The sequence below is a fragment of the Homo sapiens genome, chromosome 2 (genome assembly GCF_000001405.40).
Source record: "Homo sapiens chromosome 2, GRCh38.p14 Primary Assembly".
Lineage (NCBI taxonomy): Eukaryota > Metazoa > Chordata > Mammalia > Primates > Hominidae > Homo > Homo sapiens.
In genome coordinates, this window is record NC_000002.12 from 39,218,170 (window position 1) to 39,230,809 (window position 12,640).

At 40.3% G+C, this 12,640-nt stretch overlaps 1 protein-coding gene across 14 annotated transcripts in view, besides 1 other annotated feature; it reads right to left on the minus strand.

Moving 5' to 3' along the window:
• Nucleotides 1-12,640, minus strand: part of CDKL4 (cyclin dependent kinase like 4) — a 79,150-nt gene that overhangs the window by 50,199 nt on the left and 16,311 nt on the right. For all 14 annotated transcript variants that reach the window (NR_144521.2, NR_144520.1, XR_001738736.2 and 11 more), the window contains 2 exons: nucleotides 11,196-11,419; nucleotides 7,670-7,791 (listed from right to left, as the gene is read on the minus strand). Coding sequence is in view for 10 of the 14 variants with exons in the window: in XM_047444141.1 (XP_047300097.1) it covers nucleotides 7,670-7,791; nucleotides 11,196-11,363 (290 nt within the window). In the remaining 4 variants the exon portion in view is untranslated. Of the gene's footprint in view, nucleotides 1-7,669; nucleotides 7,792-11,195; nucleotides 11,420-12,640 lie in introns of those variants that run through there.
• Nucleotides 1,585-2,086: an enhancer, noted in NCBI's record as "NANOG hESC enhancer chr2:39446895-39447396 (GRCh37/hg19 assembly coordinates)". NCBI's record gives its function as "activates a minimal SCP1, AML or CMV promoter by ChIP-STARR-seq in naive H9 embryonic stem cells {active_cell/tissue: H9 hESC(naive)}" and the evidence as "EXISTENCE:reporter gene assay evidence [ECO:0000049][PMID:30033119]".

Genomic DNA, 12,640 nt, shown 5'->3' on the forward strand with positions numbered 1-12,640 from the left:
AACTTGACTAGGTTAAGGGATGACCAGATAGCTGCTAAAACATTATTTCTGCCAGGTGCAGTGGCTCATGCCTGTAATCCCAGCACTTTGGGAGGCTGAGGCAGGAGGATTGCTTGAGCACAGGAGTTTGAGACCAGCCTGGGCCACATGGCAAGACCCTACCTCTACTCAAAGTTTAAAAATTAGCCAGACATAATGGTGAGTGTCTGTGGTCCCAGCTGCTCAGGAGACTGAGGCAGGATTTGCTTGAGTTTGGGAGTTTGAGGCTGCAGTGAGCCATGTTCAGGCCACTGCAGAGAGTGAGACAAGTGAATGAGACCTTCTCTCAAAAAACAAAAAAAACCCAAAACATCATTTGTGGGTGTGTCTGTGAGGGTGTTTCTGGAAGGGATTCACATTTGAATCAGTAGACCGCGTAAAGAAGACCCACCCACAAAGGTGAGGGCAGGCAGGCAGGCATCATCAAACCCGTTGAAGGCCTGGATACAACAAAACGGTAGGGGAAGGGCTGCTTCTCTCTCCTTGAGCTGGGACGTCCATCTTCTCCTGCCCTTGGATGTGGAAGCTCCTGGCTCTCAGGCCTTTGGACTTTGAAACTCTCTGTCCTCTGGGGCCTTAGGACTTGGCCTGAATTAGACCATCGGCTTTCCTGGTTCTCTAGCTTGCAGATGGCAGATTGTGGAACTTCTCTCCCTCCATAATCACATGAGTCAATACCAATAATAAATTTCCTGTTATCAGTACCTCTATGTATCCCACTGGTTTTGTTTCTCTGAAGAACCTTGACTAATACACCTCCTGGGCATTCTCTAACTCCACACTGTGCTTTATTTTTCTTCAAAGACTCATAACTCTTCTTTATTGTTGGACTACATCAGAATGTAAATTGCACAAGGGCAAGGACTTTCTCTTGTCCGTTATTATAGCCCCAGCACCTAGAACAGGACCTGGTACCTAATAGGAGCTCAATTAAGCTTGTTTCTCTGGCACTCCCAGAAATTTTATAAACTAAAACCCTGTGACAAATCTCTTTCTCTCTGAACTAGCTAGAGTGAATTCTGTTGTTGAATCCTGACCAATTCAGGACATGGTAAAAGAAGTGGATGTGGGAAACAATCCAAGGCTGTGAGAATCTAGGATTGGATATCTGATGTAATGAGGACGGAAGGGCAGCATCTAATTACCATTAATGGCTGGGATGCTGGCAGATGGCCACTCAGTAATGAAACAGGTACTTATTTATTTATTTATTTATTTATTTATTTTTTTGAGACAGAGTCTCGCTCTGTCACTCAGGCTGGAGTGCAATGGCATGATCTTGGCTCACTGCAACCTCTGCATTCTGGGTTCAAGCAATTCTCCTGCCTTAGCCTCCTGAGTAGGTGGGACTACAGGTGCCTGCCACCACACCTGGCTAATTTTTTGTATTTTAGTAGAAACGGGATTTCACCCTGTTGCCCAGAGTGGTCTTGAACTCCTGACCTCAAGCAATCTGCCTGCCTCGGCCTCCCAGAGTGCTGGGATTACAGGTAGGAGCCACTGTTCTTGGCCTGAAAAGGGAATTTAAATAATCACCTGAGGCCATCTGGAATAAAATGCCTATTCAAGGCAAGGCTTTGGTGAACTAAGTGTGATAGAACAATATGGGGAACATAAGTAGTAACAGACATGTGAGGTGGTCTGGTTGCTTCTAACTTCACTGGAGAAATTAAAGAAAAAAAAGCACAGGTTCAGAGCTTTAATATCTTGGTTCAAGGCACAGTTAGGACGTCAGGCATTTTGATATCGACCCTAAAAGAACCCCTTACTTCTTGTTTCTGTAGGACCCACTTCACAGATCCACTGGGATCTCCATGAGATTACTAAAACACTGACACAGACAATAACCCTGCAGGGTGCTCAATGACAACAAAGACTGAATTTATGTGAGGATAATTAGTTTCTCAGTTAATGAGATGAGAAGGAAAAATAGTCCAGGAATTGGAATGTGACACTTGAAAGTATTCATGTAACTAAGAGCACCCTAACTTCCTTCCAAACTTCTCTTCTCATAGGAAGTAGCCCCCAAACTTGTACAATAAGGCTGGTTCTGCCTTGCTGCAGACTCTCAGATCTCACCTGAGGCAGGTGCATTTTGTGGGGATGCCCGCTCTCTTCAAGCCTCCTCTCCCCACCTCCCCTCAAGGTCTCCAAACCTTAACTAAAGTCAGATCCCAGCATGACCCAGGGGGCCTATAACAAAGTGAAACAGAGGAAGAGGAGATTTACATAGCAAAAAGAACTACAACATTTTGCTGATTTATAACGGGGAATGTATGAAGAAATGGATTTCATGGGTGTTGGACCAGAGGGGAAGAAATATGACTTTAGATTGGGCTGATTATAACAATATGGGCACAACTTATTCGAGATTCTGGTTTTTTTTTTCTTTTTTTTGAGATGGAGTTTCGCTCTGTCGCCCAGGCTGGAGTGAAGTGGCATGGTCTGGGCTCACTGCAACCTCTGCCTCCCAGGTTCAAGCAATTCTGTCTCAGCCTCCCGAGTAGCTGGGATTACAGGCACCTGCCACCACGCCTGGCTAATTTTTTTGTATTTTTAGTAGAGACAGGGTTCCACCATGTTGGCCAGGATGGTCTTGAACTCCTGACCTCAAGTGATCTGCCCTCCTCGGCCTCCCAAAGTGCTGGGATTACAGGCATGAGCCACTGCGCCTGGCCCAACTCTTCTTTATGCTGTAATTTAGTCGTTGGGTCCCTTCATTATCTCACCATCCCATGGCTCAATCCGCATTCACTACATCGACGATCTTTTTTTTTTTTTTTTTTTTTTTTGTTTTTTTTTTTGTTTTGTTTTTGTTTTTTGAGACAGAGTCTCGCTCTTGTCGCCCAGGCTGGAGTGCAGTGGTGCCATCTCAGCTCACTGCAATCTCCGTCTCCTGGGTTCACACCATTCTCCTGCCTCAGCCTCCTAAGTAGCTGGGACTACAGGTGCCCGCCACCACGCCTGGCTAATTTTTTTGTATTTTTTAGAAGATATGGGGTTTCACTGTGTTGGCCAGGATGCTCTTGATCTCGTGACCTTGTGATCCAGCCACCTCGGCCTCCCAAAGTGCTGGGATTACAGGCGTGAGCCACTGCGCCCGTCCACATTGATGATCTTATGCCCACACACCAGTTATTTATCCTACGTGTTTCCTCTAGTAAACAATAGTCCAAAAGGCTTGGTATGTATACTAGCTGGTTGTTTATCTCTGTTTGCTATTCACTGGGCTTAGGCCTTTAAAAATACTCTCTGGCCTGTTATTTAAATAGATTTTAGGAAGGGAGTACAAGTAGATGAATGCTTTAAATTAATCATTGTTATCTAGAAGTACCCAACATTTCATAAAAGAGCAGCATATTCTAGATTGTTCCTATTTGCATTACTCCATGCATAATAGATTGAAGTCTCAGGGCTGACGCAACGCACTACTGAACACCAGCAGTGCTAAGCACATTTGTAAAACTTAAGAGTGCAAAGTGGGATAGTTCAGAGGTCCCTGGCATTGCAAAACACATATTCAACAGAGGAGTTGCTTGAACATGCCTTGCTCTTTCTTGTGTCTCTGCATTCCGCCAGGGGTGTCCATCTGGCCAACTCCTCTTCCTTTTCAAAGCCCAAATGCTGCCTTCTCTGCAGAATCTCCCTCACTTCCCGGGGTCAACAGATGTTGGAGTTGCTTCTCTTGTGCATCCCTTGCATCAACATTAACCCAATCAACATAACCATTTGTAGTTGTTACTTTGAATATCTGTCTCTTCATCACATTTTAAGCTTCTTGAGGGCAGGACTGTATCATTATAACTGTATCCTCTGCACCAGTGTAAAATGCTCCATGAAATATTTTTTGAGCGAAAGAATGCTAGGCATAAGGAAGCCATTAAGATCAATGAGACATGAAGTATGCCCTCAAAAAACTTATACTCTAGTGAGAGAGAGTATGCACATAAAAACATATACGGTATAAATACCAAGTACCACAACAGGGATGAAAATAAAATTCAATGGGGATTCAAAGGAAGGAAGAAATTCCATCCAGATGAAGGAAACTTAGAGATGTTACAAATATCTAGGATTTCACATTTTAAAGATTATGATAGGCCAGGTGTGGGGACTCATGCCTGTAATCCTAGCACTTTGGGAGGCTGAGGCAGGTGGATCACCTGAGGTTAGGAGTTCGAGAGCAGCCTGGCTAACATGGCAAAACCCTGTGTCTACTAAAAATACAAAAATTAGCCGGGCATGGTAGCGGGTCCCTGTAGTCCCAGGTATTTGGGAGGCTGAGGTGGGAGGACAGCTTGAGCCCAGGAGGTAGAGGCTGCAGTGAGCCGAGATCGCCCCACTGCACTCCAGCCTGGGCGACAGTGTGAGACTCTGTCTCTAAATAAATAAATAAATAAATAAATATTATGATAGAGACAGTGAAGGTGAAAAAGGCTAGAACCTTCTAGATTAAAATGAGAAGAACATGAGCTAAGTCTATAGACAGGAAAGCTTAGGATACAAGTAGGGAAGAGAAAGATGTTCAAGTCAAGCAAACTGGTGTATGCATTGAATGTTTTATAATAGTTTCAGGGCCTTGAACAATACATGAAGTAAGCATAAATTTCTAACTTCATGAAAATGTATGTTAATTTATAAATTAATTTATAGAATGGCTGAACATATCTGTCTTCTAAGTCAACATACAACATCCTATTTAGTGCAGGATAAAGTTTAACTATGAATTAATATGCCATTTTAATTGTTTTTATATTAATTTTTATTTTAAAAGTAATATATGTGCATTCACAGAAATTTGAGAAAATTTGAGAAAACTCAAATTTTCAATTATACTTAACATTCTAGTATGTTATCTCATTTTTTCATATATCATCCCAGGAACATTTCCCCAGGACATTAACTATTGTTCTAAAGCATGCTCTCTAATGGGCTGGCTGCATATTGTACTATTGTATGGATGGATATACCAAAATGCCTGTAACCAATTATTTACTGTTGGAAAATTAGGGGAGTCCAATATTTTTGTTATAAATAATGACGTATTGAACATTCATATGTATAACTTTTGCCCTCATCTGATTATTTTCTTACTATAAATTTCTCTAAATGGAATCTCTTGATCAAAGGATGAAAACAGTTAAAATTTTTTCATACATATTGCCAAATTGCCCTCCTAATGGCACTCTCTCTAGCCATCAATGAGGAGGTCTGATTCCCTGACTGTTGATAAGACTGGGTATAATAATTTTTGAAAAATCTTTGCCAAATTTAACAGATGAGAAATGGTACCTTGCTAAAAAGTTTTGAATTTCCTTGATTAATAGGGAAGGATAAGCATGTTTTCTTAGATGTACTGGTCATTTCCTTCTCTTTTTTTTTTTTTTTGAAGACTTCTGTCTTCAAAAAAAAAAAAAAAAGAGAGATGGGGTCTCACTCTGTTACCCAGGTTAGAGTGCAGTGGCATGATCTCTGCTCACTGCAGCCTTCACCTCTTGAGCTCAAGTGATCCTCCTACCTCAGCCTCCCAACTAGCTGGGACAACAGGCTAGGTTAATTTTTGTAGTTTTTGTAGAGATGGGTTTCACCATGTTGGCCAGGCTGGTCTTGAACTCCCAAGCTCAGCTGATCCACCTGCCTCAGCCTCCCAAAGGGCTGGGATTACAGGCATGAGCCACTGCACCCAGCCTCCTTCTCTTTTTTAATGATTTGCTTCCCATGTTCACTGGAAGGTAAGGTGAGGCTCCTTTTCTGTGTGTGCTCTGTTCAATGCTGTAGACTTAGCACTGGCTGGGTGCACAGTCTACATTTATGAAAGTTTTTTTTGAATAAATATATTTATTAATTGGATGTTAACCTTTTAAAAAATGTTATTTGTAAAATCTGCATAGGTAGACATAAAATTTATTCATTCTGGCAAATAGTTTACCCAATATCTCATTTCTATTTTAGTTTTGTTTATGGTACTTTTTTGTCAAAGGGAGTCTCTTAAACTACTGTGATTTAATATTTGACAGTTAAAAGTCCCTTTTTTCTCGATTTAGTCTTTTTCAAATTTCAAAAAATACCCTATTGGTATTCTGATTAGAATTTTGTTTAATAAACAGATAAACTGTAGAGGCAATATTTTTATAATCATGAATATTTCCATTTAGAAACATGTTCATTTAAATAAAATCCTTACATATCTCAGTTTTGTAGTTGTCTTCATGCAGAGTCAGAACAACTCTTTATCTTTATTCCTAAACTTTTGTTGTTGTTAATATTTGAATGGGATCCTTCTCCACTAATTTTTTTTTTTTTTTTTTTTCTTGAGACAGAGTCTTGTTCTGTCACCAAGGCTGGAGTGCAGTGGTGTGATCTCGGCTCACTGCATCCTCCGCCTCCTGGGTTGAAGCAATCATCGTGCCTCAGCCTCCCGAGTAGCTGGGACTACAGGCACCCACAACCACACCCAGGTAATTTTTATCTTTTTAGTAGAGACAGGGGTTCACCATGTTGGCCAGGCTTGTCTAGAACACGTGAGTTCAAGTGATCCACCTGCCTCAGCCTCCCAAAGGCATGAGACACTGCACCCAGCCATTCTCTGTTAGATTTTCTAAAGTGTTGTTTGATACAAATGCTGTTAATTTTTGCATGTGGAATCTGTCGTGTTATAGGGGTCGCTGTACTGAATTCCACTGGTTTTAATAACTCTTTAGGTGGTTCTCTTAGATTTTGTAGATCAGTAATATCTTGCAAATAATGACAATTTTATTTCATTTCCAAAAGCTATGTTTTGTTTTTCTTATTACATTACATTGGCTAGAGTTCTCAGAACAACGTTGCATTATAGTGGTGACAGCTGACATCCTTGTCTTGTTTCCTCACTTTAATGAAAGTTCTTTTAGTTTTACCATTGAGTATAACATTGGCAGTTGATTTGAAGAGGGGTGTGTGTGCCAACACTTTGGGAGGCCGAGGCAGGTGGATCATGAGGTCAGGAGTTCAAGACCAGCCTGGCCAAGATGGTGAAACCCCGTCTCTACTAAAAATACAAAAATTAGCCGGGCATGGTGGTGTGTGCCTGTAATCCCAGCTACTCGGGAGGCAGAGGCAGAGGCAGAGAACTGCTTGAACCCAGGAGGTGGAGGTTGCAGTGAGCTGAGATCGCGCCACTGCACTCCAGTCTGGGCAACAAAGTAAGACTCCATCTCAAAAAAAAAAAACTATTCTTTTAATCCTAGATGCTAGGGATTAAAAAAAAATCAGGAAAGGATGTTGAATTTATCAACATTTCAAATTTTCAAATTTATCAATCGTACATTTTTTTATCTTATTAGTGAATTATATGAATAGGTTTCCTAGTATCAAACCATGGTTCATTCCTTGAACTCAGATAATCCAATACATAATTTAGCCTCAAATTCATTTTGATTTTATATCTGTGGTAGGTTTTTCTCCTAATTATAACTCCTATAGGTAAATCATTGTTTGCCTTTTGAAGACATCCTGAGACTGGATGGGGTAGCCAGATGCATTGTGGTAGAAAGGGGAATTGTGGCTGGGATTTGAAATTTGCCATGGTTAATTCCACAGAAAATGAAACTGAGAACTGGCTGTACAGAATTTCAGTTTCCAGATTACTTACCCATTTGGGTTTCTTTCCAGCTCATTTAAAAGTGTATGATCACAGTATTCAAAAACTAAATGCATTTTCCTTTTTCTCCTGAACACCTCGATGAGGTTCACAAGATTTGGATGTTTTAATTGCTGTGAAAGAATTGAAATGCAAAGTTAAGTGATCTGTTACTAGTAAAAGCTTCTACCCAGACCCCTTAAAGAAACTTAAAGTTGGAAGAAATTTAAGATTCATCCAATGTACCTATAATAAGTGGTAACAAAATTGCTTGAATCTCTCTGGTGATAGCAAGTAAAGTATGTAACTTAAAATACTGCAATAAAACAAAAAACACTTTATGTATTTTATGGAAATTCTATATATACAAGTCATAAAATAACCTGAGTAGAAAATTGAGGAAATGAAATTATTAAGGACTATAAAAATAATCAATATCCACTCAGCTTACATATTGCCATGGATTTTATGGATTTAAATCCAGTCTGGATTCTAGTGTTGACTCCCAGTAATACTTGTTCCTAACCATCAAATCGGAATAAACTGTCTATTCTAGAAGTCCCCACAATTAGTCTGTGTTTTAAATTTACTTATTTATATTTATATAAATTATATATATTATATATATATTATATATATTATATATATATAATATATATTATATATTTTCAGCATTGTTCTTTGATTCTGTTGTTCTCTCTTATGCATAGATATTTTGTGTGTTAAATTCTATTCCCAAACTGACGCATTTCACAAGACAGCCTCTGTTTAATATCGCAAACCCAAGGAAAAATGCTGATTAGGTAGGACAGACCATCACTACAGCGATTAGATAATTTTATCTTCCAAACTAGGGTAATGGGTAGAAGCCAGGACTATCGTAGGCAAACCAGCACATATGGTCACTCCGTCTGTAACTAGGGTGACCACATAATTCAGCATACACACCAGGACACTTTTTTTTTTTCCTTGCTCTGTCGCCCAGGCTGAAGTGCAGTGGCGCCATCTCGGCTCACTACAACCTCCGCCTCCTGGTTCCAAGTGATGCTCATGCCTTAGCCTTTGCTGTAGCTGGGACTACAGGTGGGTGCTACCACGCCTGGCTAATTTTTGTATTTTTAGTAGAGATGGGGTTTCACCATGTTGGACAGGCTGGTCTCACGTGGACAGGCTGGTCTCAAACTGCTGACCTCAAGCAATCCATCTGCCTCGGCTTCTCAATGTGCTCGGATTACAGGCGTGAGCCATTGGGCCTGGCCACACCAGGACACTTTTGAAAGGGGATGTGAACCAGGCAGGACACTGGGACAAAAACTATAAAGCAGAACTCTCTTGGGCAAATCAGGATACATGATCACTCTTATTCCTAACCCATCTTCCCTGTTGTTTTCCCAGTATAGTAGACAAATCAACTTTCCAAACTCTCTTCCATTTACCCAGAAAGATACTGAGAGAGAACACAGCATTTTGCATATAGTAGAAGCTCAACAAATAACAGGCCCAGTAGAAAATTTTAGGTACAGAGACTCACAATGCATGCCTCTACCTCAGTATCTATTAACGTAAGCATGGCTTGACCAAAACAAATGTCACCCTAAAACTGTGTGCCTGCTGCTCCACAGCTGGGGAAAAGAGAATCCATTATACATTAAAAATATGCCCAGGCTGAGGCAGGAGGATCGCGTGAACCTAGGAGTTCGAGATCAGCCTAAGCAACATACTGAGACCCCATCTCTCTAAGGGAAAAAAAAGAGAGAAGCCCAAAGCACCAAACCAATTTGTTTTCTATGTGCTCCACTGCCTAAAAGAGCAGAAAGGCAAAGAGTGGAAGAGACTAGGTCATCTAAAAAGCCAGTGGCTTTGTGCCGCTGCAAAACCACAGTATGGAAGCAAAGCAGGATCTCTACTAGGGGAGTAAAAGATTTACAGATACTACAGTTTGATGCAATGTCAAGGTTAAACCTGGTCCAATCTCCTGTCTTTGGGTAGGTCAGCAATTTATACCGCCTTTGCAAATGAAGTTAACCTAGCCCAGGAAAACAGTAACTTGCCTAAAGAAAAACAGGTGGTAAGGACAGAGAGGCAAGCAATTTAAATAACAAGACTATGTGAGGAAAGGAAGGTCGACTGATCACAGAAGGAGCTGTTCAGGACCTACATGGACACAACATACCAAAAGCAGAAAGATGGACGTTCTGACATTCTGAGGGCCTTCATCAGAGACCAAGCTGAGTCATAATCAGGCTAGTTTTTACCTTACAGCCTCATTCTCCAGTTGGGCACTTGTAATGCAGAAGGTACTACCTGAGCATTAACTTTATCTGAAGACTTGGGACGGAGAGGCTGACAGGTAAAAGCATTATTTTTATTAGAAAGCCACACTGCTTGGTTCAGACCCGCCCTGCAGCTTAGCTCAGTGAGGGTGCCAGAGCTGGCTAGCTGACCGGCGCGCCCTCTGCTGGCTGAGAGGTAAGAGTGAACTTTTTTTTATCATGATGGATGTGTTCCTGAAGACTGTATCAAGTTATATTTCAAACAAAACCCTAGTGTGTATTAGTTGAGGAAACCTGTGGGAAATAATATTTGAAAATGAGAGAAAACATGATAATTATTAGTGATAATTATTATCCTCCCTTACAAACTGAATTTCTGGGGATTTTCTAAAAACAGACGACGTGTCAAAAATGAAGGTTGCCTGTGTGTCCTTGAAATCACAGGGTCTTGTCACATAATGTGTAGCCCACAAACCAGCAGCTTCCGCACTTCCTGCGTACTCAGAAATGCAGAATCTCGGGCCCACCCCAGACCTCCCAACTCAGAATCTGCATTTCAACAAGGTCCCCGGGGATTCCAATGCATATTAACATTTGAGAAGTGCTGCCCCAGACCTCCGTTTCCTCTGCGGAAAATATGGTTGTTAGATAAGAAGCATCTCTACGGTCGCTTATAGATCTAAAACTGTAAGATATTTAGCGTAAGAAAAAATTTACATTGAGAACTTAGGAATCTTACATGTCAAATCTTATCAGAGTGAAAACAATTATAACAAAAACCTTTATGTAAAAAATGTGTACGTTACCGGGGGTGCTATTCAGTATGTCTAAGAACCTGGGGTGCAGTGCAGGCAGGAACCAACGCATGTCGATGCCTACCAGGGCATTGGTGCGGTCCTGTGGGACTGACTCTCTGTGCCAGGAGGTGCTCTTTTAGTTGCTGGTTGGTAGGGGAAGTATTTGGAGGGATATCCAGAGGAGGGCCAGGGTTGGGGGCGAGCGTAAACACTGGGGTGAGTGGACTTAGGATATTTACTAACAAGAATAAAAGTTCTTTTCAGTATAACAATCTATAGCTGTATTCATACACAGACAAAATCAGAGTGGCCGAAGTCCAAAGTGATAATCAACTTATTACCCAAAGGTGCTGATACAAAGGAATTTAAGTCCAATGGGGGGAAAATAACTTTAAAATTCTTTGCAATTTTAACATGCATATTTCACTCAATTCCATGATATTTTACATATATATAAAGTTAACTTACCTTCAACATACGTATTTCTCTTAGTGCTATTTTCTTAACAACAGGATCATCTTCAGATTCCACAAATTTTTTAACAGCTACTACTTGTCCAGAGGTTTTGTTTCTGCATTTGAATACAACCCCATAAGACCCTTCTCCAGTCTTAGCTAATTTTTCATACTTTTCCATTATAGCTGAAGTGACTTAAATTATTGTATCGATTGACTTGCAGTACAATGCTGCACCTGGAAAATAAGGTAGACTTGCCTTAATCAAGCTATAAAAGACAATGTTCTCACAGGTTATATACAACCAATTTGTCCACATGCCAAAGGTTTATATTCATCAATTAATTGGAAATCCACTTAAAAATATTTGGATATTATTTTGTTAGTTTAGTTTAGTCCTCTGCAGCTCTTCCAGCTATCAAAAGATTTCATATGCTATTTCTGACAATGGTTCTATGTTGACCTCAGTTGAACTAAAAGAATTTGTGGAAAGGAAACTTATCCCATCTATTGTTTTCATTATGCTCAAGCAAACAACTGAAATATGATGCTGTAAAATCCAGCTGAAGGAACATTTCATACTCTGGAATATGCTGTTTATCTTTTCTCTTCTAACCCAAGTGCATACACAATGACTAGGAGGAGTTGTGTAAGAAGACATGGTACAAAAAGTGCTATACTTCCACCTGGTGGAGAGAAGAAAGAGCGTGGGCCATTGAACAAAGCAGTCTTTAAAAACAATAACAGGCCAGGCACAGTGGCTCAAGCCTGTAATCCCAGAACTTTGGAAGGCCAAGGTGGGTGGATCACCTGAGGTTGGGAGTTCAAGACCAGCCTAACCAATATGGAGAAATCCCATCTCTACTAAAAATACAAAATTAGCCAGGTGTGGTGGCACATGCCTGTAATCCCAGCTACTCAGGAGGCCCTTGAACCCAGCTGAGATTGTGCCATTGCACTCCAGCTTGGGCAACAAGAGTGAAACTCTGTCTGAAAAACACAAAACAATAACAGAATCCTTTTAGGGTATTTATTGCTCCTAGCTTTTATTTTCATGGAAGAACAGATTCTTAAGTTCTTAGCCCCAAAAGAAAATAATAAACACAAAGAAAGCATTCATTCTTATGAATTCTTTCACATCTCTAGTGATTTCTATGGAAATACTGGGTTTTTCTGTTTTGTGTCATCCATTCTTGAATGAATGTTTTGGTGACCGAATTAAATATTACATGATGACTAAGGCCAACATATTTAAATAAATCAGTCTAAGAATTAAAAATAGAAAAATTCTAATTAGTCTCAAAAACCCCACCCCACTTTATCCAGCAGAATCTTGTTAATATAACCTAATAACAATTACAATAATAATGGCACTTAACATTGTTCTATACAAATTACATAGAATGTGCACAAATATTCTATGAAGTAGGTGTTATTTTTATCCAATTATACAGATGA